Genomic DNA, 25,046 nt, shown 5'->3' with positions numbered 1-25,046 from the left:
AGGCAGAGGTAGGCAGATCACCTGTGGTCAGGAGTTCAAGACTAACCTGGCCAACATGGTGAAACTCCATCTCTACTAAAAATACAAAAATTAGCCAGGTGTGGTGGTGCATGCCTGTAATCCCAGCTACTAGGGAGGCTGAGGCACAAGAATCACTTGAACCCAGGAGGCGGAGGTTGCAGTGAGCCGAGATGGCGCCACTGCACTCCAGCCTGGGTGACGGAATGAGACTCTATCTCAAGAATAAATAAAATAAAATAAAATAAAATAAAATAAAATAAAATAAAATAAAATAAATCAGGCAGTTCAGTAACTGTGAATTCTCCCCATCACAAAAAGATTTTTCATTTTACAAGTATTCATCAACTACAATTGAACTGTAGGAAAACACTTTAGGTAGTGTTTTCCCCTGGTTTATACCTCTTCTTCTAGTTTAACTTTTACTGGTCCTAAGCATTTGTCACTCAAAAAATACCATTTTATGGTGTTGGGAAAACTGGCTAGCCACATGCAGAAAACTGAAACTGGACCCCTTCCTTACACTTTATACAAAAATTAACTCATGATGGATTAAAGACTTAAATGTAAGACCTAAAACCATAAAAATCCTAGAAGAAAACCTAGGCAATACCATTCAGGATATAGGCATTGGCAAAGACTTCATGACTAAAACACCTAAAGCAATGGCAACAAAAGCCAAAATTGACAAATGGGATCTAATTAAACTAAAGAGCTTCTGCACAGCAAAAGAAACCATCATCAGAGTGAACAGGCAACCTACAGAATGGGAGAAAATTTTTGCAATCTATCCATCTGACAAAGGGCTAATATCCAGAATCTACAAGGAACTTAAACAAATTTACAAGAAAAAAACACTCAGCCCTATCAAAAGGTGGGTGAAGGATATGAACAGACACTTCTCAAAAGAAGACATTTATGCAGCCAACAAACATGAAAAAAAGCTCATCATCACTGGTCATTAGGGGAATGCAAATCAAAACCACAATGAGATACCATCTCACACCAGTTAGAATGGCGATCATTAAAAAGCCAGGAAACAACAGATGCTGGAGAGGATATGGAGAAATAGGAATGCTTTTACACTGTTGGTGGGACTGTAAATTAGTTCAACCATTGTGGAAGACAGTGTGGCGATTCATCAAGGATCTAGAACCAGAAATACCATTTGACTCAGCAATCCCATTACTGGGTATATACCCATAAGATTATAAATCATTCTACTATAAAGACACATGCACACATATGTTTATTGAGGCACTATTCACAACAGCAAAAACTTGGAACCAACCCAAATGCCCATCAATGATAGACTGGATAAAGAAAATGTGGTACATATACACCATGGAATACTATGCAGCCATAAAAAAGGATGAGCTCATGTCCTTTGCAGGGACATGGATGAAGCTGGAAACCATCATTCTCAGCAAACTAACACAAGAACAGAAAACCAAACACCACATGTTCTCACTTATAAGTGGGGAGTTGAACAACGAGAACACATGGACACAGGGAGGGGAACGTCACACACTGCGGCCTGTTGAGGCTGTGGGGGTAGGGGAGGGATAGTACTAGGAGAAATACCTAATACAGATGACGAGTTGATGGGTGCAGCAAACCACAATGGCATGTGTAAACCTATGTAACAAACCTGCACGTTCTGCACATGTACCCCAGAACTTAAAGTATAATTAAAAAAAAAGAAAAAACAAAAAAGCAAAACGATACTTTTTCTTTTCCTTGAAGTCGTTGGATTGCTCAAACAAGCAAACTAACTAAAATACAATTTCAATTCAAAATAGCATTTATTAAATGACTAGACATGTAAAAAATATTTTACTCTTTTATTGGTAGGTGTTTTCTGTAATGGCCACAAATGCTTTTGGAATTAGGCAAAATATAAATAAAGCTGTATAACAGACTTCACAAAATTTGATAAACAAAAATTATAGGTTGTCTCCACTCTTTTGCTGCAATATATTCCTGAACTGAAAAGTAAAATGAAGAAAATGATTTCTTTTCACTGGGCAGTTTAAGAAAACCAAGAGCTTCAGACTGTCCTTTTTTACCATTAGATGGCACTGGCCTGTCAGTAAGGCAAACTGCAGGAACTACCAGAAATTAACCGACAGGCAATTCCAAGGTCTAAAGTGGGAAGCAGGCGTTTCATTGGTCTCAAATAAGTGGATCAGCAAAATTGAAAAGAGTGAAAATCAAGGGCTTTAGAAAGTTATATGTACAGTTTTGCAGGATTATATCTCTGAAATGAGGTAAATCTTAATTTACATTTCTTGTTTTTTTCCTTTCTAGAATGATTCTAATTTGCAGTGAAATTAATTATCTAGTTCCAGAAGTTCGGACCTTATTGATGACTCACTGTAGCAAACTGCTGTAAGGGGAATTCACGATGATGCCTCTGGGTTGACAGACAGGCATTTGGTGCCAGGTGAACCTGGGTTTGATTCAGTTTCACCCATTATTAACTTTCATTAAATCCAGTGACTGGCACACAGCGGATATTCAAAAAATGTCAAGTTCTTGTCCTTATACTCCTTTCTCCACTGTAAGCTCCAGGATTGCAGGGGGCAGTTCACATGTCCTTAGAAGACTGTTGGTCATATAGTAGACGCCCAATTTGTGACTGCTAAATGCATAAAATTTAAACAAAAATTTACTACTCGGCCAGGTGCGGTGGCTCACGCCTGTAATCCCAGCACTTTGGGAGGCTGAGGCGGGCCAGGTCAAGAGACCAAGACCATTCTGGCCAACATGGTGAAACTCTGTCTCTACTAAAAATACAAAAATTAGATGGGCGTGGTGGCGTGCACCTGTAGTCCCAGCTACTCGGGAGGTTGAGGCAGGAGAATCGCTGGAACCTGGGAGGCGGAAGCTGCAGTGAGCCGAGACTGCACCACTGCACTCCAGCCTGGTGAAAGAGAGAGACTCCATCTCAAAAAAAAGAAAAAAAAAAAAAAAGAAAAAAAAATTACTACTTAACCTATCTGGGCATTAAATAATTCTCTTAAACACATGAAATCCATATCATTATTCCAGCTTTTCTAAACACAGAAAGATACTTTAACTCACATTTTTAAAGAATACGTCCGTGCCCAAGGCATTTAGCTAGTTTATAGATAAAAGATACAAAGATCTTGCTCTGAAGAAGCTTACAGTTTAATAGGAGGATCAAACTACTATGAGGTAGGAAACCTTAATTGTATAACTGACGGCTATAAAAATAGTTCTGGGGAACTCAGAAAAGGCAAGATTACTTCCTTGCGGGGAAATCAGGAGAGGTTTAGCAAGGAGATAGCAATGGGCTTGGCCTTGGAAATGGAAGATAATCTGTTTCTGTGCATACAGGAGGAAGGAAAACGCACAGATGAGGGACTCCATGTGCCAGAACATGGAGATATTTGGACAAAAAATGAGAAGTAGTGCAGTTTGGCACCTAGAACTATACGATGGTGGCAAGTAGAAAATAAGGACAAAGCGTTGAGCTGAGGCTCTTCACTGATCTTATAAGGAGTGGAGAGTCGTTGCCAGCTTCTGATTAGGGAGACTATGTCGCTAGTGATTCTGAAGATTTTTTGGCAGTACTGTGCAAGATAAAAGGCAGGAGACAGTTCAGAGATTAAATTACTAAGTCAGGGAGATGGAATGAGGAACAGTATCAGGGGAATGGCAATGAGATAGACAGGTAGAAGTAGGAGTCTTTATGGGGACAAAAATCCTTGGCAATGCCCTGTGTGGGGATAATAGGGAAGGAGTCAGAGGGTGCCAACGTTTTCAGTCTGAGTGGCTAGAAAGATGCAATTTCCAGAAGACAGATTGTAGACATGTTAAGCTTAGGTCCTGGGGAAAGTATCTGAGTAGGGCGGAGAGATGCTACATAACAGAGAGCAGGGCAGTGCGGCTCAATGACGAGCATGGATTGCCTGGCCACTGGGGACATTCTCAACATCCACATGCACACTGTCCTAAGGGCAGCACCCTCTTGGCCACTGCCATTGTCTCCCACCCCTACTTGATGTCTCCTAGTAATATATGTACTGTGTCCCCCCCTCTGCCGTCTGCCCATCGTGCTAGGCCAGATAAAAAGGGGTGAGAAGCACTGCAGGTTCCTGTAAGTGAAAGGAACCCCAGAATACTGAGAAAGCAAAGGAAGGCGATAACTGAAACAAGAAATGATATGATTAATGGTTTTAAAAGAAGATGATGACTGAGCTAGGACCCTTGCCCAGTTTCTCAATTAGCACTTTTGGGGTCTAAGGAGACTGGATCATTAAATTGAGGCAGTGGGTATCAAACATTGTTTAATGTTTTTGTTTGCATTGTAGGGGGCTTGAAAGAGTGGTGGGATGGAGGTGTTTTAGACCGAGGGAAATCTGAACGGTCTCATCTCCTCTCATCTCCATCCAAAACATTCCCCAGTCAGCCAGATGGAAACTCCTTGACTGATGAAAATAATCCACAGTCAGGTGTGATTTCGAGGTGAGACCTGGAACAGTGCTTGGCACAGAGTAGGTGCTCAATATTTGTTGAGTGGACGAATGTATCAAGGCGTAATCAACCCAAGAGATATTTGCCTTTCAAAAAGAGGGTCCAGACAAGTAAAATAAATCCCTACTTAGAACCTCTTACTTTGCCTATCACTGTTTCTCAATGTGGGTGCTATAAGCATTTTGGATAGAAAAATTCTTCACACGTGCCCAATTCTTGAAGGTTCTGCAGAATGTAGAGTCTTAGCATCCCTGGACCTTGGGAACTAAATACCAGGGGCATCCTCAGGCACTGTGACAACCAAAATGCCTTCCCACCCCTTTGGCTCCCAAACCAATCTCCCTGTGGCAGTCAGGCTGCTTCTCCCTCCCAGGTACCCCATGGTCTCTGGGCTTTTCTGCCTGGCTTTGATCTCAGCTTACCAAGTCCTCAATGCCTGTTGCCTCTCTTTTTAACTGGGCGCAATTATACTTAATCACTCAAATCCTATCTCTTCTTTCTTGACTCTTTCCTGACCATCTCACCCAAAGCCCATCTTTTCATTTACTTAGTGATGTGAATACCTCCCTGAAAACACTTCCTTGGCAAGTAGCTTTTCTGGGCTTCTGTTGGCTTGAAGGCCTATCTTCCTATACATTCTTCTGCCTCACTTTCTAAGTTCAAGCAACAATGAATGTTTAGGTTCCTCTGCAGAACCATGAACTATCATTTTCAGGCCTTTTAGATGCTCTTCTCTCTACCTAGAATCTATTTCTCTTCATATCATCTCACTAATTTATAATTATTCTCAGATACCAGCTGGGATACCCAGTGCTGAGATAGTTGCTCCTTCTATAGGCTCCATGGTACTACGTTTCTCTATTATTACTCTTCTTATCGTTACCCATTTGGAAGTTAGCCATTTACTTGTTATACCATTCATTAGACTGTAAGCACCATGAGGGCAGAACATGTCTGGCTTTTTTATAGTTCTCCAGTGTTTAGCACATTGCCTAGCATCAAGCAGGGATTCACTAAATAGGGGTCATGTGTCTGGTTTCTTTTCTTATGGACATTTCTCATCTCACTATCGACCACGGTAGGAATTCTGTTGTTCCAGCTTCTTCACTCTAATCACCAAGCTTTGCATATGACAAAAACTTAATAAAAAACAAAACTGAGAAGATAGTTTCTCATCATATGTAGACTATATGTTTATAAATTGTTGTCAAAGCTATTGAAATCTGTGTCAGAGTGAAAGACAAGGGAAAAAAGCTGTGATTAAAAATTGCTCAAATAGATCTAAAAGTCCTTTATGCTTTCAGTTAAAGTTCCTTCCTTCCTTTCTTCCTTCCTCCCTCCCTCCCTTCCTTTCTTCCCTCCTTCCTTCCTTCTTTTTTTTGACAGAGTCTCCCTCTGTCACCCAGGCTGGAGTGCAGTGGCACAATCTCGGCTCACTGCAACCTCCGCCTTCCAGGTTCAAGCGATTCTCCTGCCTCAGCCTCCTGAGTAGCTGGGACTACAGGCATGTGCCACCACACCCAGCTAATTTTTTGTATTTTTAGTCGAGATGGGGTTTCACCATGCTGGCCAGGCTGGTCTCAAACTCCTGACCTCAGGTGATCCGCCCACCTTGGCCTCCCAAAGTGCTGGGATTACAGGCGTGAGCCACTGTGCCCAGCCTAAAGTTTCTAATTTTAAATATAATTTGGCAGTTTTCAAAAACACTTATCCCTATTCAATGTGTAATTTTTCCCATGTAAATTTTTCTATGTCATAAATATAGATTTTTTTGCAAAATATAGACCAGTAATTCTCACGCTTACACTTGTCTGACAATTAGATCAATTGGGAAGTTTCTATAAATACATATTTATATTGTAGTGAGCCCGCCCCAGGGCTCACTACACTCACACACCACAGAATATTAGCCTTGGAAACTTTAATTTAGCTTATCGGGGATTTCTAATAATCAGAGAGTACGTAGGCCAATGAATGCTCATATCTCTTTGTAAAGTACTTGCCTTAAGTTATAATTAAAGAAAATTTCTGTTAAGAGCTGCCATTTTCCCATTACCTACTAACTTTTAGAAACAAAAACCAGTAAGAAATCCATGTTTCTAAAATCCTTGGATATGATAATTGATTATTCTTATGGCTTCAATATTCACCATCTAATTTATACTTTAATGTATTCTTTAATATATATTATTCAGTTGTATATTAGAACACTAAGCATAACTCTGATATTATTGATAATTTATAGATACTTGAATCCACTTGTTATGGATCAAATTATGACCCCTAAAAGATAATATATTGAAGTGCTAACCACCAGTACCTCAGAATGTGAGCTTATTTGGAAATAGGGTCTCTGCAGATTTAACCAAGCTGAGGTCATTATTTTGGGGCATAATCCAGTACAACCGATGTTCTTATAAAATGGGGAAATTTGGACAAGGACACAGACATGCACAGAGGGAAGATGATATAAAGAGACAAAAGAGAGAATGCCATGCGCAGATGGAGGATTGGAGTAATGAATGCACCTACAAGAGAAGGAATGACAAAGATTGCCAACAAACCAGTATGCACTTGGAAGAGGAAAGGAGGGAAACTGGTTTCAGAGGGAGCATGGCCCTGCCCATATCTTGATTTTGGATTTCTAGCCTCTGGAACTGTGAGATCATACATTTTTGTTGTTTTAAGCCACTCAGTTTTTAGCACTTCGTTACAGCAGTCCTAGCAAACTAATACCCTACTAAATATATCTGCTCACAGTGTGATCTGCTATCATTGAATCCTTAAAATGTAGTTTGATTTTAAAGCACAAGCTTCATTAGTCGAACCCAAAATTGAAGCAACCATCAGGAAATCTCTCACCCACGAGCCCTCCTTGGCAATCTGGCGAGGCCTATGAACCCCTTCTCAGATTAATGATTTCAAATGTATAAAATAAAATACAGGGGATTATCAATGAACCCAATTATATTGAAATAGTTATCAGCATTTTTAAAATACCAATTTGTGATGCAGCAGTATCATGTATTTTATTAACATATTAAGTAAAAGATCTAGTAGAAAGTCTATTAGTGATGTTCAGAATAAATGGTATTTTGAGATCACCATAAGATGTAAAGGTATTTATGAATTCTATTGTGATAGTCACAGCTACTGCTCACACTACTGTGCAGTGTCTTCCCCACACTCATAATTTAAAGAAATACTAAATTTCAGTCCGAAGTTAGTTAAAATATATATGTAATTAATTCCTTGCCATCTCTAGGAACTCTTTGAATTCTATCTGTGAACCATTTGGGAGTTGATGGATTGCAAAGAACCCTTGAAGAGGAAATATTCTCTGATTTTATTCAGAAAATTATTTCTTTTTCCCATTTTGATACAGCTGGCCTAAATGTTTGATAGCTATGTGGGTGACACAGCTACCTTCTGGTGTGTCTCCCTGCACTGCTGAGGAAAGCGAAAGACCATGTGTCACAGACTCCACTGCAGGCTTCGTTCTGAATGGGGTTTGGGTTCAATTAGTATTTACATGAGATTTGAAAGAAGGAAGTGAAACAGAGCTCTGTGCCTCCTGGCAAGCAGATATGGACGTATGGAGCTGGGTTCTTTGTAGTCATCTTATTATGGCTCTAGTGTCCAGCTACTAGATTTGTGAACACCAAGAGGCAAGGTACAAGCATCCATGTTGTTATGCATCCTAGCAGATGTGGCATGCATGGGTCTGCAGCTGGTAGCAAAAGTAGCACCCTGATCACAGCAGTTTTTCAGACTGTGGGAGTGGCAGTGCAGTTCCTGGTCACAGGAGAGGCAGCAGCTCCCTAAGCGGTGTGGCTCTGCTGTGTGGCTTTGAAGTCATTACTGACAGCTCAAATGGCAGTCTTCTCAATCCTTCCTACACTTAGGTAGTCAGTTTAGTGCCCCGAAATAAACCTATTCTTGCTTTAAATAGCTAGAGTAAATTCCGTTATTTGCAACTGAACTCTGATCTAACAGACTACAATTTATATTCCTTCCAATAAAGGACCTGTTTCCTTGGCAACTACTTCTGTCAGATGAGTTGCTTTCCATTTTTTTTTTTTTTTTTTTTTTTACCAAAAAACTGCAACTGCAAACACACTGGGGGTAAAATGCTGCATTGCCCACTACTCTCTGGACAAAAATAAACATATTCAAATTTATACTGCAGAAAGTTTTATAGAAAATACATAGAACAGTCCAAGAATTTTGCTCCTGTTCCATTGGCTATAGTCGCTTTCTAAAGGAGATGTTTATTACTGCCCAATAAGGTAAAAGTATCAAATTGCTAAAATGAAAGATATGCCTAATTTGCTTACCTGCTACTCTGTGAGTGTACAAATTGGCCTGATTGCTACATTATTTGAAGATTAAAGGTCATTTATTTTCATATATGGAAAGAATATGTAACTCTCAAAGTAAGCTAGGTGTTACATTAGCTTGGGATTCTCCTTAAACAAGGAAACATCAAGGTGACAGGATTAGTTGTTTTGCCAGCCCAGAGGCTAAAAACGACGTCCCAGATCACGTCTTAGAAAAGTTTTGTCAACAAAATGAATTTTCATTGAAAGTTACCTCAAGGACACGGGGAAAATGAAATGGATAAATAGAGCATGAAAATGAACTGTGTGCTAGGCCTGGACGCCCTAATTATCATGCTCTTCCACCTGAGAGTTCATGGAAATCTCTAGACTGGATTCAGTCACGCCTTTTTCCGTTTTGAGACACACACACACACACACACACACACACACGATTTTCTTCCACATCCCACCAAAACTCGAGGATAGAAGGGCTCATGTTTTGGAAGTTAGAACTTTGAATATAGTGAATGTATTTGCATTTTTAATTATTACGTAAGAAAACTGAGTATGATTTTGCATCTAATCTCTGTAAACACATATTTGTGAACTCTCTGGAAGGTGAACTCACACCTATATTTGCAGCATAACTGTCACTTTATTAAAACCCCTTTAGTAAACCCCTATAAGCGAGATACATACGTGCAACCCCTTAAACAAACAGAAAACCAACAGTTTAAAATCCAATTTGAGCAAAAGAACTCTAAATCCAGGGACTGAACGTCGTTTCCGGGAGTGAGGGGTGGGGCGTGGGGGAGGGGGCGCTACACTTCCATTTTCTGTAACCTTTTAAATGAATAAGGCTTCAAACTATTACATATGTTTATTATCTTTAATATTGGAAAACTTTTGAAACACCAACTTCATAAACTTTAAGTTAAAACTATATGTGGGTGATCCACTTAAAATTAAGCTTTGTAAATTACACCTTTTTAAAAAATTTTTAGCCAACTTTTTGCACTCTAAGAATACAAGTATGTTCCTGGTTTCCCCAGTTCACTGGCTTGTGTCGGCGGCTAGAGGAGCTGGGGAATCCTAGGGAAATTTAAGGAACGTGGAAGAAGCGCGAGGTTGTTCCCTATTGCCTCCACGTTTCTCGTCCCAGAGACTCTCAACAAAGCCTCCGACCCCCAGCAATGGTGTTCCCCGCCCCAGGGCTCACTACACCCACACACCACAGAAAAGGGCGCTGGGGCCTGGGTGACGCGGGAAGGAAAACACAACTTCGATAGGTCGCAACTTACTCTCCTGGCTCCAGCCAAGAGGATTTTCCGAAGCCCCAGGTCGGATCTCGCCGCAGCCTGCCCGGCCCTTTTCCCCCCTCGGGCAGCAGGAAGGAGCGCCGGGCAGGTAACGCGCACAAGGGCGGCGGGCAAGTCTGGTCGCGAGGTCTAGACCTCGCCTACCGACGCCCTCCCCGGCGGTGGCTCCCCTGTCCCGCTTGCGGCACTTACCAGGAGAAGCAGCAGGGCGTACGCGCGTCCCGGGCTCCGCGCCATCGCACCCTCGCCTCCGCCTCCCGCCGCCGCACCGCTCCGCGCCGCCGCCTGCCCCGAGCGCGCACTCGGCTCCTCCCTGGCCCCGGCCTCCCCCCGGCCCGGCCACCCTCTCCCTCCCCGCCCCGAGGGCTGTCTTCCCGTGGCGGTTGCGCGGCCCAGCCCAGCCCAACCCAAAGGCGCGGCTCCAGGTGTGGCCGCCGCGAGAAAATGGAGCCGGGGGCCGGCCCGGGCCGCTTTTACAGAGGTGGGGAGTTCAGCAGAGGAGGGAGGCGCGGGGTGGACTCCCGCCCGCTCGCACTCGCACCTGGGACCGTGACGTCCTTGGGTTGGGGACTGTGGGTGGCAGGCCCCGCCCCGCCGTTCTCTCCTTCCCGACCCCCTACTCTCTGGAGAATGGCGGGAGGAGGGAGCCTCCTGGCGGGGCTCGACCTGGGTAGCGCGGGTCGCAGGGCCCCGGCCCAAGGACAAAAGCTCCACGGAGCAGAGTCCTGCGGGACCAACCGGCCCAGTGGCTGCGGGGCCAGGCCGCCCAGCACCGCCCAAAGGTCCCGCACTTTGTGATTGTGCTTTGGGCCCGGAGCGCAGGTGTCGCTAGTGACATGGGGACCCGTGTCCTCAGGAAAGCTGCGACCGCGGTGCGTTCGGCCCGCTCTCCTGGAGCGGAGGTTGTGGAGCAGAATTTCAGGTGGCTGTCTCCCCAAAGGCTGCTCTTCCCTATGGCCCTTCACTGCTTCCAACAGGTTTGCAGCTTATCTGGCTCAAGGAGAAACAATCACCAGAGGTCAAAAAGGACAATTCTTGGGCTAGGAGAAAACTCTAGGGTGTTACGGGAAATATATATATTCTTTGAAATGATTTACAATTTCTATTACACCACTAGCTAGATCAGAGGCCCCGCTCCAAGAGTGACTAGCTGAGTGGCCTGGACTAGCCTCTCTGGGCCCCAGTTTCCAGATCTGTCAAATGGAGTTAATAGCGACCAACGCACGGGGAAGTTTTGAGAACGAAATTGGAAAATCTTAGGTAAAGCATTCTGCAGTGTCTAGAACTTAAGGGTTCAATAAATAATTGTTAAAATTAGAACAACGTGATTGCGAGGTGAGATGTTAAATTGACATCTTGAAAAGCAGAAACTTAGTATGGGCATCCAAACACTAGAATCAGCACCGGATTACGAAACTTCCAAGAAATGTAACGACTGAAAGTAATGGACGAGCCTATTGTTCTGTGCGAGAAAGGCGCAAGGGGAGAAGAAAAGACACACACACCATACTTTTAAGGGTAAACAACCTTTATCCCAATTAAATGGCAACGCGGATATAATAAGCAAATGATATAATAAGCAAATTGCAATGGGAAGGGGAGAAGGAAAAGATATATTTATAGGTACACTCACCAGACTGTGGAGGATTCACCACCACACCGGGAAGCAACAGCCTGGGCTCCAGAGTCGGACACTACACTCACCAGACTACAGAGGATTCTCATGAAGTTTCCTCATGGTCTGGGACCCTAGCTCTTATCGTAACAAGTTGTTTGGCATGAGACCCAGTCACAAGGGCCCTTCCCGACTGGACTCAAGGAACACAAAAAGGTCAACTTGTGTTTGCGATTGTCTGTTGTGTTTCAATAACTAACAAATAGGAATTTAAATAGAGATTTATTTGAAACAGCGCTCGATGAATTCCTCAAGGGGCTCACACCACCTGTTCTGGGACTTGGTGGCCATTGTTTGTGTCCATGTTCAATTGAGTTCAAATTTAATATTTAAGTTTTCCTCCACATTCGGCTTCAATCTGATACTCAATCGCAGGAAAATACCCCTACAGATACATGGGGAAGGCATAGTTGATAGAGATTACAGATACAGGGTAAGCACAGGAGAATTAAAAGCAAAATTAATAACACACCCATCATGGCTTTGCAAGGAGAGTAATATTGTGAGAATTGTCAGGGATATACACATAACATCCAGTGCAGTAAGGTGCAAACCCCTCCTTGGGCTGCAGTAAGCATATCTAATGCCTTTCCATTTGCAACACAACAGTACATAGCTGAGCAAATTCATCTGATAACAACATACATCCAGTGCTACTATCATTAAGAGCTTTTCTTAGAAGTGAGCTTAATGTTTTAATTTGTTGCTGAAGCAGGATTGTATCAGCTGCAGGGGAGAATGCTGTGATAGGATACCACCCCTACGGAGTCGGATGCATTCTAACCAGGGATGTTTGTAAGCATCTAGATTACTGGGGAGGGGAATATTATCCCGGATGGTGAATGGAATTAATGGCCACCCCCAAGTGCATATCCCCATCCAATATGGGGGCAGGTATCGCTACCCATAGGATCCGCATACCCAGAGGGCCCCGCAGGGGACAGCAATGGAGTTACTGTAATCATAGTGTACTAATGTGTTATAAAAGTAGGAAAGAGATTGTGTTTCATTGGGGGTAATGTTGTTGATTTGGAGCATGTGTTGACAATTGTCTGGCAGGAGAAACCCCAGAGTACCAAGGCTTGGTTTGGTCAAAGAAAGTCCAGGTTGGATTGCAAGTGTTGTTGTTGTGGTCCCATTGGTAGCGACATAGTCATTCAGAAATGTTAGCAGGGAGGATTCTCCAAGGTAGCTCATTCCCACATAGCCAACATTGACTGTGGTTGGCTTCCTCTGCAGCGGTGGCTACCCAGTTGATGAATTTAATCTTGGCGTCAGACACAAAGACACAGGTGCTGACCATTAGTAGATAGGTTATTCCATGTGATAACAAAAACAGAGGGGAACATGATATTGTTTTTCATCTTTAGGAAATTGTAGTGTGCTTCATTTTCTGCTCCTATAGCTACAAGGTCACCAGTCTTAAGGGTGGGACCTGATGGACGCTGTACCCATATTTTGGCTCCAGGATTTTGGCTCCAGGATCTGAATCCCCCAGTTCTGCATGTAGCCTCTGTTGGGGCAGATTTCCTCAGGGGTTAATTGCTGACAAGGTTCCACTAACAATTGAGCAACCTGCATCTGAGGTTTTATAGCAAAAGAATCTGGAGTGGTATTGTATAAAATGACCTTTAACTCTCCCCGGTAAGCACTATCAATTATACCACCATACATTATAAAGCCTCTCATTGCAAGTCTTGAACATGTTGTAATCCATTCATCCACATTCAAGTTTGCAGTTATGGTGGAAATTTTGGCCTGTTGATCTGCCTGCTGATGAAATAGTCTGTCAAGAGCAAACAGACGCATGAGCATCAACATGGAAAACAGTGATAATGGTAGTGTGTGCCAGGATTCAGATATCTTCCCAGTATTGTTTACCCCAAACCTCTTCATTCCCAATTAACCATTTGTTTTGTTGCCATTGGGGCATCCAGGTGGTAAGAACATTTGCTACTGACCAAGAGTTGGTATTCAAGTGGCAAATCCCTCTGGCCTCCTCCTGAATAGCTCAGAGGACCACTACTAGTTCAGCCAGCTGGCTGCTCCCACCCCTTCCTTCATCAGAAATGCTTATGCTTTTTAACAGGGTTATGAGCCATGGCCTTCTAGCATCGGGTCCCATCAATGTATTTGGTAGATCCATCAGTAAACCAAGCATGTTTCTGATCCTCTGGGCTTAGTTCTTTAAAGGATTTGCCCCATTGGGCGGGGGAGGTTTCCTTCCCTATCTGTAGGACTTGCTTGGTGGTTTCCTGAGCTGGCAAGTTTTGTATATATCCTCATGTAAAAGTGATACCCCCTTTGGTTTTGGCTTAGCCTGGTCTTGTATGTACCATTTCCATTTGATGATGCTACTTTCTTGGGTGTGCCCTATCCGGTGAGCTTTGGGGGAACTCATGACCCAAGTCATAATAGGAATTTCAAGCCTCATAAAGATATCATGGTTGAAGCAGAGGTGCTCCATTTCCAGCAAAGCCCAATAGCAAGCTAACAATTGCTTCTAGAAAGGTGTATAAACTTTGCCATCCTCTGGCAGTTTCCAGGTCCAAAACCCCAAAGGTACCCTCTTCCTATCTTGTTCCTGGCTGAGGCTCCAATTAGCATGTTGATCTAGGACAGTTACTTGCAGTTCTACTGGTCCATCTTGTATGGGCCATAAATCCAGGGCCAGTTGCACCACTTGTTTAACTTGTTCAGAAGCCATGCTCTCTTCCTCTCCCCAGTGAAAGTCATAGCCTTTTCTAGTGACTGCCTGAAGAGGTTGTAAAATGTCACCCAAGTGGGGAATATGATGTCTCCAGAATCCAAACAAGGCAATAAATTTCTGAGCCTCCTTTTTAATGGTAGGGGTTGCACATTTTAGTATTTTAGCTTAGCCTTTGGTAAAATGGACTATTTCCCTGCATTCCATAGGATGCCAAGAAATTTTACAATTTGTGTAGGTCCTTGAATTTTACTGGGGTTAATTTCCCATTCTTGAGACAGGAGCTGAGTTTTTACCTGTTCTGATCCCTGGCTGACTAGTTCTTCAGTTTTACCCTGACTGGGCCACTTGAATAGCTGCCTTTTCAGCAATAGGCTGATAGATTTGAGCCTGATCCATCAAGACATAGGCCTGGCATTGGGCCAGGGCCAGTTTGGAAATCAAATTAGCATTTTCCTTTTCCAGCTTACATTTTTATTGTTCCTATCTTGACACATTAACTTATAAGCAGTAAGCAAGCACCATCCATGCCAGTAAATTCCCTCAGTTTCCACTTTACCAACTGGGATTCCCTGCAGCACCTCATGCACAGCCAATGGTTCAAAATGCACTAATTTAGATTCCCAATTTTCACAAAGGCCAGTTCCATTGGACCACTCAATGGCCAAGGAGGAGAAGTTGGGGAGTTCCCATCCCGGAATATGGGGACCTCCCAGCCCGGTCCTTGTGGTGGAAAATGGCATGCTTTCGCTTTCAGATCCTGTTCGTGACGCCAAAAATGTTCTGTGTGGGAGACCTGTGAGGGGAGAAGCCACGCACAGTACTTTTAGGAGTAAACAACCTTTATCCCACGTAAATGGCAATGCAGATATAATAAACAAATGATACAATAAGTCAATGATATAATAAGAAAATTGATATAATAAGCAAATTGCAATGGGAAGGGGAGAAGGGAAAAGATATATATGTATATGTGTGTATATGTGTGTGTATATATATATATATATACACACACACACACACACACACACACACACACACATATACACACTCCTCAGACTATGGAGGATTCATCACCAGGCTGAGAAGCAACAGCCTGGGCTCCAGAGTCGGCCACTCATCTGTACACAGACAAGAAGATGTCTCTTGAAGCTTCGTTGCAGTCTGGGACCCTAGCTCTTTTTGTAACCAGTTGTTCGGCATGAGGCCCAGTCACGAGGGCCCTTCGAGACTGGGCTCAGATAACACAAAAGGTCAACTTGTTTTTGCGACTGTCTGTTGTTTTTCAATAACTAACGTATAGGTGTAGATTGAAATAGAGATTTCTTCGAAACAGTGCTGGATGAATTCCTCAAGGGGCTCACATGACCTGTTCTGGGACTTGGTGACCGTTGTTTGTGTCCATGTTCAATTGAGTTCAAATGTAATATCTAACTTTTTTTCCACACCTATATAAGCATAAAGGGTTATTTGGAGACTAGAAAGAGAGGTTTGGTATTAAATTTGGCTCAAATAGTAGAGTTCCTTCTGTGGTCCAAAATGCCCCCTCTCCCTCTGGTAGCATCTCTCACCCTTCTCTCCCAAGTGCCAATCTTCAAGATCCAGTACAGTCACCACCTCCTCATTACACTCTTTCTTCTCAGTTCCCCAAGGACCACTGCCTATTTGAGCTGAGAGAAGCACATTCTCCATATGTTTGGGGCTTAGCTGCTGAGTGGATTTTCTCATGCAGTTACTTAAGTGACGGTGGCTGAATTAGTTGAGGACTTAGCTCATTAATGTGCTCAGAAGTGCCCCAAACTGTGCTCTGTACTATGGGATACTCTCAGTAAACTTTTTTACATCATTGAATCTGGAGGAAATATGTCTTAATTTCCACTCCTTTCTCTTGAGCTAGATGTGGGTATTAGCACACCTTGGGGATACTTCTCGTTTGCCATCATGCTGGGAGCACTCCTGATTTAAGAAGTGAGGCTTTACCAAATCACTTGCAGAAATCATTGTAGGAAACTATGTGTCAGTCCTGCCTTAAATTTGTGCCCTTGCAATTGAGTCCTATAGAGAAGTATTTATGCCTCATTATTAAGTCTTTGGTTTCTATTCAGCAATGAAGATAATCATAGCTTCCAGAATGAGAAATAGCCAATGCAAACTTTATTTCTGTTGTATTATTCAACCTCCCCTGAAGGCTATCAAAGTTAGTTTCAAGGTAGTATTCCTTCTATAAGACATTTTCCCCAGGACTTTGAGAGAAGGTGCCAATATGTCATCCAGTGCCATAGCATGTCACTCCTGAATTAGTTCTACTTTAAAAATTCTAAAACTTATGACTCAGAGAGGTGAAGGAACTTCTTGAGAATCAGATGTTTCACAGCTAACTCTCTGGCTCCTAACTTCTTTATGCTGGGGTTAGAGTAAATCTGTTTCATACATCTCTGTGCACAAAAATAAATGTAGCCATTACCAACAAAGGACTAAGGATTTGTTTAAAATAAATTGAAGTCTTAACAGGATGTGAAAATTTTAACTTTCATGTTTTCCTCCCCCAAGTTAGTTGAACATTACGGTAAATGTACTTTTCTTAAGACATTTAGAATGGATTAGTTCAAAACATATTTTGTGTGGATAATAATTACCTTTAACATCTAGATATATTCAAAATATCTACCTGAATTTATGTTTTCCAGAATACTTTGCTTCACACACATACACAGATAAGAATAATCTTCAAGTGATTAGCTCATTAAAATCACCCCTTTAATATGATCTAAAACCAAAAATACTTTAAAGGGTTTCAGAAAGATCAATGAAAATTAATATATCTCTTTTCTACTAACACTGCTCCTTACTGCCAACACATCCTAGCATTAAATATTATTTTAAAAATGGACAGTTCTTTGCTAAAGGTCTGATAAGTGGCTGACCACTTAATTCCAGTGAAAATCTCATGAGTATATGTATTAGAATTAATGTTTCACAGGTGAGAGCTAAATCTGGTTGCTATCCTTTTAAAATGCTTTATAAACAAATCATAGAGTTGTGTAGCTGTTATAAAAAAAGGTTATCATGGTCAGGAGGATTACTCATAGAATGTTGATTAGCAAAGGGCATATGGACACAGGACAAAATGTGAAATACTCCCAGGTAATCTGAGAAGGGAAATATGAGGAGGAATCTGTTTTTTGGTTTAGTTCTACTAGTTTATTCAATATTTACCTTGTCCCTGTTCAACAAACATTTAATTTTCATTTTACTAGAAATGCAAAATTAAATGTTTTCCTGTATCGAAAGAAACAAGAATAGGTGCTTATAAAATAATATAACTATAATTACTTATAAAATAAAATAATATAACCACTGTGGTAGAACTACACATGCAGTATATGAACAATGAAGGTTTCCCACCTCACACTTTGGACTATGGGGTTAGAAAAGGCTTCTTGGAGGAAGTTTGCTGAAGTGATTCTTAAAGGATGAGTAATTGTGAACCAGGTGTTGAACCTGCCAGGGCAGAGTGACTCAAAGCATAGACACTGTTGATGAAGAGTCAGGGGCTTTCGCTTTAGCTGTGAAAAAAGCTTTCTTTTCATCATGTTGACACAAACAGGGAATCAGAAGTAAAAACTTTCCTTTTGGTAAAAACATGTTGAATTTGAGACATTAGAACAAAATCCAATTAGAAAAGCCTAGCAAGTCATTTGAAATGAGAAAGGACAACTGCATTGCAAATAGATTTGGGCAGCAGAAATAGTCACCTTATTTTGTTCCCATCTCACTGGCTGTTCTTTCTCAATCCCTTTCTTGCCCTCTGCTACTTGTAAAATGTGTGTGTCTTCTGAGTTCCAAACTTTGCTTCTTTTCTTCTTACTTAGTAGCAGGTATGATTCTGTGGTCACTTTCATTGTGTAAACTTAGCTTTCTTTCTCAAGCTCAAATCATGGGACCTCACTATTTGGATATTTCATGGGAACCTCACACTTCCATAATAATTTTGTAGGGATATCAAACTCAGCATATTGACAAAAAAGCTTTCCCTCTGATATGGTTTCGCTGTGTCCCCCACCTAAATCTCATCTTGAATTTTAGCTCCCATAATTCCCACGTTTTGTGGGAGGGACCTGGTGGGAGATAATTGAATCATGGGGGCAGTGTCCCCCATACTGTTCTCATGGTAGTGAATAAGTCTCACGAGATCTGATGGTTTTATAATGGGTTTCCTCTTTTGCTTGGCTGTCATTCTCTCTTGTCTCCCTCCATGTAAGACATGCCTCTGCTTCTCTTTTGCCATGATTGTGAGGCCTCCCCAGCCATGTAGAACTGTGAGTCTACTAAACCTCTTTCCTTTATAAATTACCCAGTCTCAGGTTTGTCTTTATTAGCAGCATGAGAACAGATTAATATCTCCTCTCTTTACTTTCTCTCCAGTGCAAGCTTGCTGCTTTCTCATATGCCCCACTCAGTCAATGGCAGCCTTGCGAACTTGGCCACTCACTTTAGGACCTGAGTGGCATCCTCTATTCCTTTTTCCATCCTCTCCATATCCAGTTACTTACCTCTCCTTCAGTACTCTGTGGCTCTATCCCAGATGACTCACACAACCTGCATAGCAGCAATCACATTATAGTTTATGGTTATTTCATCCATGTCTACTCTTCCACCCATTTCTTTTTCTCAAAGCTGTTCCTTCTTTGGGAGCAGAGGCCATATGATATTCACAGTGAGCCCAACCCTCAGCATCCAGCACATATCAGATGATCAATTAAGACTTGTTGAAATAAGCCCACACACTGGAAGGGATTAATTCTAAGTGAAAAAGGAGTATTATAAGGAAAAGTGTTTGGAATATCCACTGTGGGTGAATTAGCAGAGGTTCTGGTAAGAAACTGTTGGTCTGTGGTATGTATGTGTACATGCATTTGCACACATACACGCACATGTCAGTTTGTGTACGTATGTTTTCCCTAACAACACTGCAGCCCAGAGCAGAATAAGGATGGCAGCTGGTAGGTGTAAGTCAGGGTTGTAGAGTGACCCAGATGACAGTTAAGAGGTGTAAGTATCCAGGAAAGATCAACTATTATTTTGATGTTTTTCTAGGTCCAGATTGATGACATCTTATGGAAATATCTATGTAAAACATCTATAAAGAGAACTGAACTAGGCACTGAGGACAATATCACACATACAAAGATGATAAACAAGATCTATAACAAAAGGCTGAAGGTGCTGGGAATATTTAACCTAGTAAAGAATAAAGTGGTCAGGTGCAGTGGCTCAAGCCTGTAATCCCAGCACTTTGGGAGGCCTAGGTGGTGAATCACCTGAGGTCAGGAGTTCAAGACCAGCCCAACCAACGTGGTGAAACCCCATCTCTACTAAATACAAAAAATTAGCTGAGCGTGACGGAGCATGTCTGTAATCCCAGCTACTTGGGAGGCTGAGGCAGGAGAATCGCTTGAACCTGGGAGGTGAAGGTTGCAGTGAGCCGAGGTGGTGCCAGTGCACTCCAGCCTGGGCAACAAGAGTGAAACTCCGTCTCAAAAAAAAGAATAAAGTGACAGTATCAGAAAAAGAATGTAAAAGTCCTAAAAATCGTTTCTATAAGGAATATATTCCTATTGCTTCTTTAAGCAGAAACATGTTTAAGTTTCAGAGGAAAAGGTTTAGGTTAGAAACTGTAACTTTCCATTCTATAAAAAAATCTTTATCAAAAGAAAAGAAAAAAAAGAGGTGTAAGTATCCAGGATACTCCTGGAATTGAGTGTGGTCAGGAGGAAGACAGACAGGGTGAATGAAGCTGGAGGAGCTCAGGGCCCAGTTGAGAATAGACAGTTTGTTACATTGGCCATGGAGAAATGGGAGAGGATCGTCCTTCCCCTCAATCCTGGAGAAAGACCCATGGTCCTATTCCATGGAAGTCAAGGCATGGATGACAGCACCAACATTTGGAGTCAGGATCTTGAATTTCTTATGGACTCTCCAGTTAGATGGACCAAGAGACGCTTCTGCCTTAGGTGGTGAGAGAGGAGCGCTGGCCAACGTGGGGGTGGAGGAGGCCTCTAATAAGAGAGCGGGAAGAGTTATGTTGACTTTCCCAGTTAGAACTCACAGGATAATAAAGCCCAGCAGACTCCAAGCCCTGTTGTCTAGCACAGAGAAGCCAGCACGTCCTTAATGAACAGTCCCCTCATTCTGGGGGAGCAAAAATAGGCAGCCCTGAGATCACAGCCTCAGACGTCAACATCCCGAAAGAGTGAGAGTCCCAGTGCCGTGAGTCACAGTGTCTCACTGAGCTTTCCCCACATGTTCCTCCTTGTGAGTCAGTATACATGGACTGACTGCTTTGGATGCAAAGTCTCTGAGCCAAGCTGTTTTAAGGAAATTGTTAACATTGTTCATGAGGCAGAGGAGAATTAGGGAAAGACAGTGACAGTTGCAAAATAGCATTTGGTGCAGTAGAGGAAACAAAATGGTCTATTCTTGGGAATCAGTAGGGTGTTGAACACATCTCATGCAATCTTTTTTGAACTAAGTCACAGTAGTTTAAAAATGTGATCAGAATATAATAATGCTGGATTGAGGCAATTATGAAACAGGCAACTGCCTGGGAAACCCCAGCAAGGCCTGGAGGCCCCAACAGAAGGCCTCTCGCATTCACTGATTAATGTCGGCATTCCTTCAGCAGAAGGCTTCCTTGGAGTGCATATTACTGGGAGGGCAGAATGTTGATCCACTGTCAGTTATTTACATCTTAGTCTAGTGCCACAGGTTCACCAGGCATGCCCCACCTCGGAGCCTTGCACTTGCGGTTCCTTTTCCCTGGAAGTTTCTGCTCCAGAAATGTACAAGGTCTTTTCCGTCACTCTTCACTTTTCTCCCCTCAAATGTTACCTTCTCAGTAAGGACATTCCCTGACCAGTGATTTTAAAATTGTAATTACCCTCCCCCCGCCCCCCGTGCCCAGAGCTCCCCATCCTCTTTTTCTCTTCTGTATTTTTCTTCTTGGTACATTGTAACCTAAAAGACTGTGTTTTAACTTATTTCTTATCTGTTGCCATTCCCTAGGATGTAAACTTTGTGAGGGCTGGGATTTTTCTCTGTGAACTGCCGTGTATCCTGCAAATAAAACAGTGCCTGGCCCAATGTAGGCTTTCGGTAAATCCCAGCTGAATGTGTAAATACATGAATAAGTGAAGAAATTTTCAAGGTTATTTTGGAATTGAGAGAGAGAGAGTGTAAAATGAGGGTAAAGGGGAAAAGGGGAAGAGAACATTGGATTCCTGGAAGGACATGAGGGACTGTCACCAGACTGGGGTGGGGGTGTGATGGGGGGCCTGGCTCGCTGTGGATAAAATTGCTCTACCTCACAATTTCGTCAAGGGCGGGCATTGCTAAGACTGCCGGGACAGGGTGAAGTGGAGGAGTTCAGACGCCAGTGGAGAACACGGCTGTTCTTCCTCTGCTTTAAGGCTCCCTTCCTTGCAGGGGGAACCAAGGAAGAAAGCATCAACAACATGAAAAATCCTCCTTCTCCCTGGAAATGAACAAAATGTGCATTCACTACAGGAGTGCAACACTGGGGAAAGTTAATTTTATCTACTCATGACAAATCTATCATTTCGGTTTCACCCTAAGTTTTGTTTATGGAAGTTCTTGGAAAGATAAGGGAAATAGCAAAGAAAGAGAGCAGGGGAGTCCTTGGTTGCTAACAGCAGTCCTGGACTGGAATCCATCACCAGCATGACAGGGCTTGCAGGCTTTTAGGGCAGGCACAGCAGTACTTACTGAGTTTCAGAGGGAAACCATCACACTGACCCATTGTGACTAATGAGCTTAGGGAGATACACAGAAATAAATAAATTTTAAAAACCCCTCAGAAGACAGAAAAAACAGACAAAACTGGTTTTTGGCAATTATTCATTCGTAGATAGACAATGACAGTCTTATGTGCAATGAAAAAGTGAAATAGAAACAATGCAGTAGCTTCGGAGAGTGAACCTGGAAGTAAAATAGTGGGTTTAAAAATCTTTCCAAATGACCTAGAATGATAATTGTAAGCACTTTGGTTGAGAGATGCAGAATTTCAAAAGTACATGATTTTCATTCTAAAAAAACCCAAGAATTTAAAGTAATTAAATTATTTATTTTAATTTACTTTACAAATTAGTCTTTTTGGTGGTGGCTTGAAAATTTCAGTCAACGTACTAATTTGTTAATAACATTCTGAAATTTGTGAAGGATTTCCTTTGTTAAAATGATTGGAGCGCATTTAAGGCTATTCAATAACGAACTTACCCACTTGTGTTCTGCTATTCTTCTCAGGTTGAGGAAAAACATGGGTTCCAACAGGGAAGGAGATGGGAGCCTTAGCCTTGATCACAGGGCTTCTCCGTCTGAGGGCGTGAGCTTGTGAATGTCATCTACTTTGGAGGACACACTTCATGAACTGTGCTGACTACAATTACAATATTGTTATTCTTGAATCCCAGGTTAGATACTGTGAATGGCAAATTACTTCTATCTAGTAACTTTACTTCCGTAGCAAAAGTAATTGAAAACCCCATAACATGATAAATAATAATTTAATTAATTTTGGCATCTATATACACCCAGGGAACTGGAGAGTCAAAGCATTCTTTCAGATATTATAAGAGAAGAGAACCAAAATGTTGTCTCTGGTGTCTAGAATTTCAGGAATTTTTTTTTTTTTTTTTTTTGAGACAGAGTCTCACCCTCTTGCCCAGGCTGGAGTGCAGTGGCATGATCTCGGCTCACTACAACCTCCGCCTCCTGGGTTCAAGCGATTCTCCTGCCTCAGCCTCCTGAGTATCTGGGATTACAGGCTCGTGACACCACACCTGGCTAATTTTTGTATTTTTAGTAGGTACGGGGTTTCACCATGTTGGTCAGGCTGGTCTCGAACTCCTGACCTCATGATCCACCCGCCTCGGCCTCCCAAAGTGCTGGGATTACAGGCGTGAGCCACCGCCCCTGGCTGAAAATGTTTGTTTTTAAACCCATTTTGTTCAAATTACATAGCTTTTTTTTTTCAGTAGACCTAGATTGAGTTACATCACCTCTTCTAATTCTCACTCCAAGTAGAGGTTTTATGAGACAGAGATGTGTTTAAAGATTAAGCAAACTGATTGAGCAAAAAAGTTTGATACAAAGAAGGCAATGGGAAAAAAATTGCTCTGGATAGTTTAGATATAATGCTCACAATGACCTTTTTCAGCTTGTCTGAAGACAATTGTGGTTAAAATTAAAAAAAAAAAGATTGTGTTCATTATGAACATTACTGTGTATCTTGAAAGCTGACCCCTTACTTAGCTAGGCAATTGTCTGCACATTTACTGTAACATCTTCCTCCTCCCAGTGGCTGAATCTTCAGCTGGAACAATATGTGAATGACATTATACCTTTGGAGAGAGTTACACCCATTTCATGCAGAATCAGCTACAATAAAGTTAAGTCAGTCAACAAAGACTGCTTGTGATTAATTCTCTTACGGGTATGAGAGAGGATGAAAGTGTATCATTGTACTTCTTTCTTAACTGTGGGATTACAACATGAATCTGAAGTAAATAGTTATGTTGATGACAACAGGTTAAGCAGAACAGTATTACAGAAAAGATTCAGAGTTGGATAATGTGAAATCCATGTAAAAGCTCATGTGAAGAATTGCTCTATGGTTCATAAAATTGCCATGGCTAGTTTTCATTGTTTGACACTACAGGAGAATTAGTCTACTCTATACCCCAGAATTTTCAATCATTGAAATCTTGAGTCTACAGAGTATGCTCAATGGGTCAGAATGTGAGGCCTGAGTCCCAGGTGTGATCATGTGTACAGAAATGGTCTAAATGGACAGATGTGAAATGTGTGATTGGAGGGATGCTGGACAGTGTGTGTTCTCAAGTTGCTTTACCTCCTAACCTATTGCTCAATGATAATGAAAATTCACTTTGTTTATGCAGTCAACAAATATTCTAAACATTAAAGACACACACTTCAGGGAGGAGTAACAAAGTGCTTTTTGTGATTTATACCTTACTGTGAATTAATTTCTCAAACAATTAAAAAACTTATCAACTAGTTATAGCCAGTTTTTAGAAGAAGCAGGTAGCAGTGAATATGAAGACATTAGGCATGTCATGTGCTAGAAATAAAGAAAAAACATGCAAAGGTAAAGACAGATTTCACTTCCTTCCATTTTATGATGGGTCAGCTGGCATTTGCAAATAAGCTGATTTTCACTTGCCCAGCAGTGATAATGATCCATAAATCATAGAGAAACTGAACATAAAAGTGTGGTCTTTTTTCATGCAGTTTGTCACTATTCTAGTAACATTAAAATATATATCCAATGGAAGTGGGGTCAATTAGTGTCATTCTTTTCATGCTAGTTTTCAAGTAACTGGGTTTTTTTTTTTCCCCCAAAGCCACGTGGATGTCCCATCTGGCTGGTAGAAATGACATAGTGAGTATTCTCTGGGGGAAGA

General features: G+C 41.9%; 1 protein-coding gene across 2 annotated transcripts in view, besides 4 other annotated features; it reads right to left on the bottom strand.

Annotated features, from left to right (window-relative positions):
• The window catches only part of DSG2 (desmoglein 2), a 50,832-nt gene extending 40,358 nt beyond the window's left edge, over positions 1 to 10,474 (bottom strand). For both annotated transcript variants that reach the window (XM_047437315.1, NM_001943.5), the window contains exon 1: positions 10,355 to 10,474. Coding sequence is in view for 1 of the 2 variants with exons in the window: in NM_001943.5 (NP_001934.2) it covers positions 10,355 to 10,399 (45 nt within the window). In the remaining variant the exon portion in view is untranslated. The remainder of the gene's footprint in view (positions 1 to 10,354) is intronic.
• Positions 8,120 to 8,229: an enhancer, noted in NCBI's record as "active region_13198". NCBI's record gives its function as "activates an Ori minimal core promoter by ATAC-STARR-seq in GM12878 lymphoblastoid cells {active_cell/tissue: GM12878}" and the evidence as "EXISTENCE:reporter gene assay evidence [ECO:0000049][PMID:35858748]".
• Positions 10,275 to 10,744: a silencer, noted in NCBI's record as "silent region_9384". NCBI's record gives its function as "represses an Ori minimal core promoter by ATAC-STARR-seq in GM12878 lymphoblastoid cells {active_cell/tissue: GM12878}" and the evidence as "EXISTENCE:reporter gene assay evidence [ECO:0000049][PMID:35858748]".
• Positions 10,945 to 11,084: an enhancer, noted in NCBI's record as "active region_13197". NCBI's record gives its function as "activates an Ori minimal core promoter by ATAC-STARR-seq in GM12878 lymphoblastoid cells {active_cell/tissue: GM12878}" and the evidence as "EXISTENCE:reporter gene assay evidence [ECO:0000049][PMID:35858748]".
• Positions 18,308 to 22,455: an enhancer, noted in NCBI's record as "VISTA enhancer hs2166". NCBI's record gives its function as "enhancer in: heart[3/10] | other[6/10]" and the evidence as "EXISTENCE:transgenic organism evidence [ECO:0001131][PMID:17130149]".

This window comes from Homo sapiens, chromosome 18 (assembly GCF_000001405.40).
Source record: "Homo sapiens chromosome 18, GRCh38.p14 Primary Assembly".
Classification (NCBI taxonomy): domain Eukaryota; kingdom Metazoa; phylum Chordata; class Mammalia; order Primates; family Hominidae; genus Homo; species Homo sapiens.
This window is presented reverse-complemented; position numbering and strand designations above follow the sequence as displayed.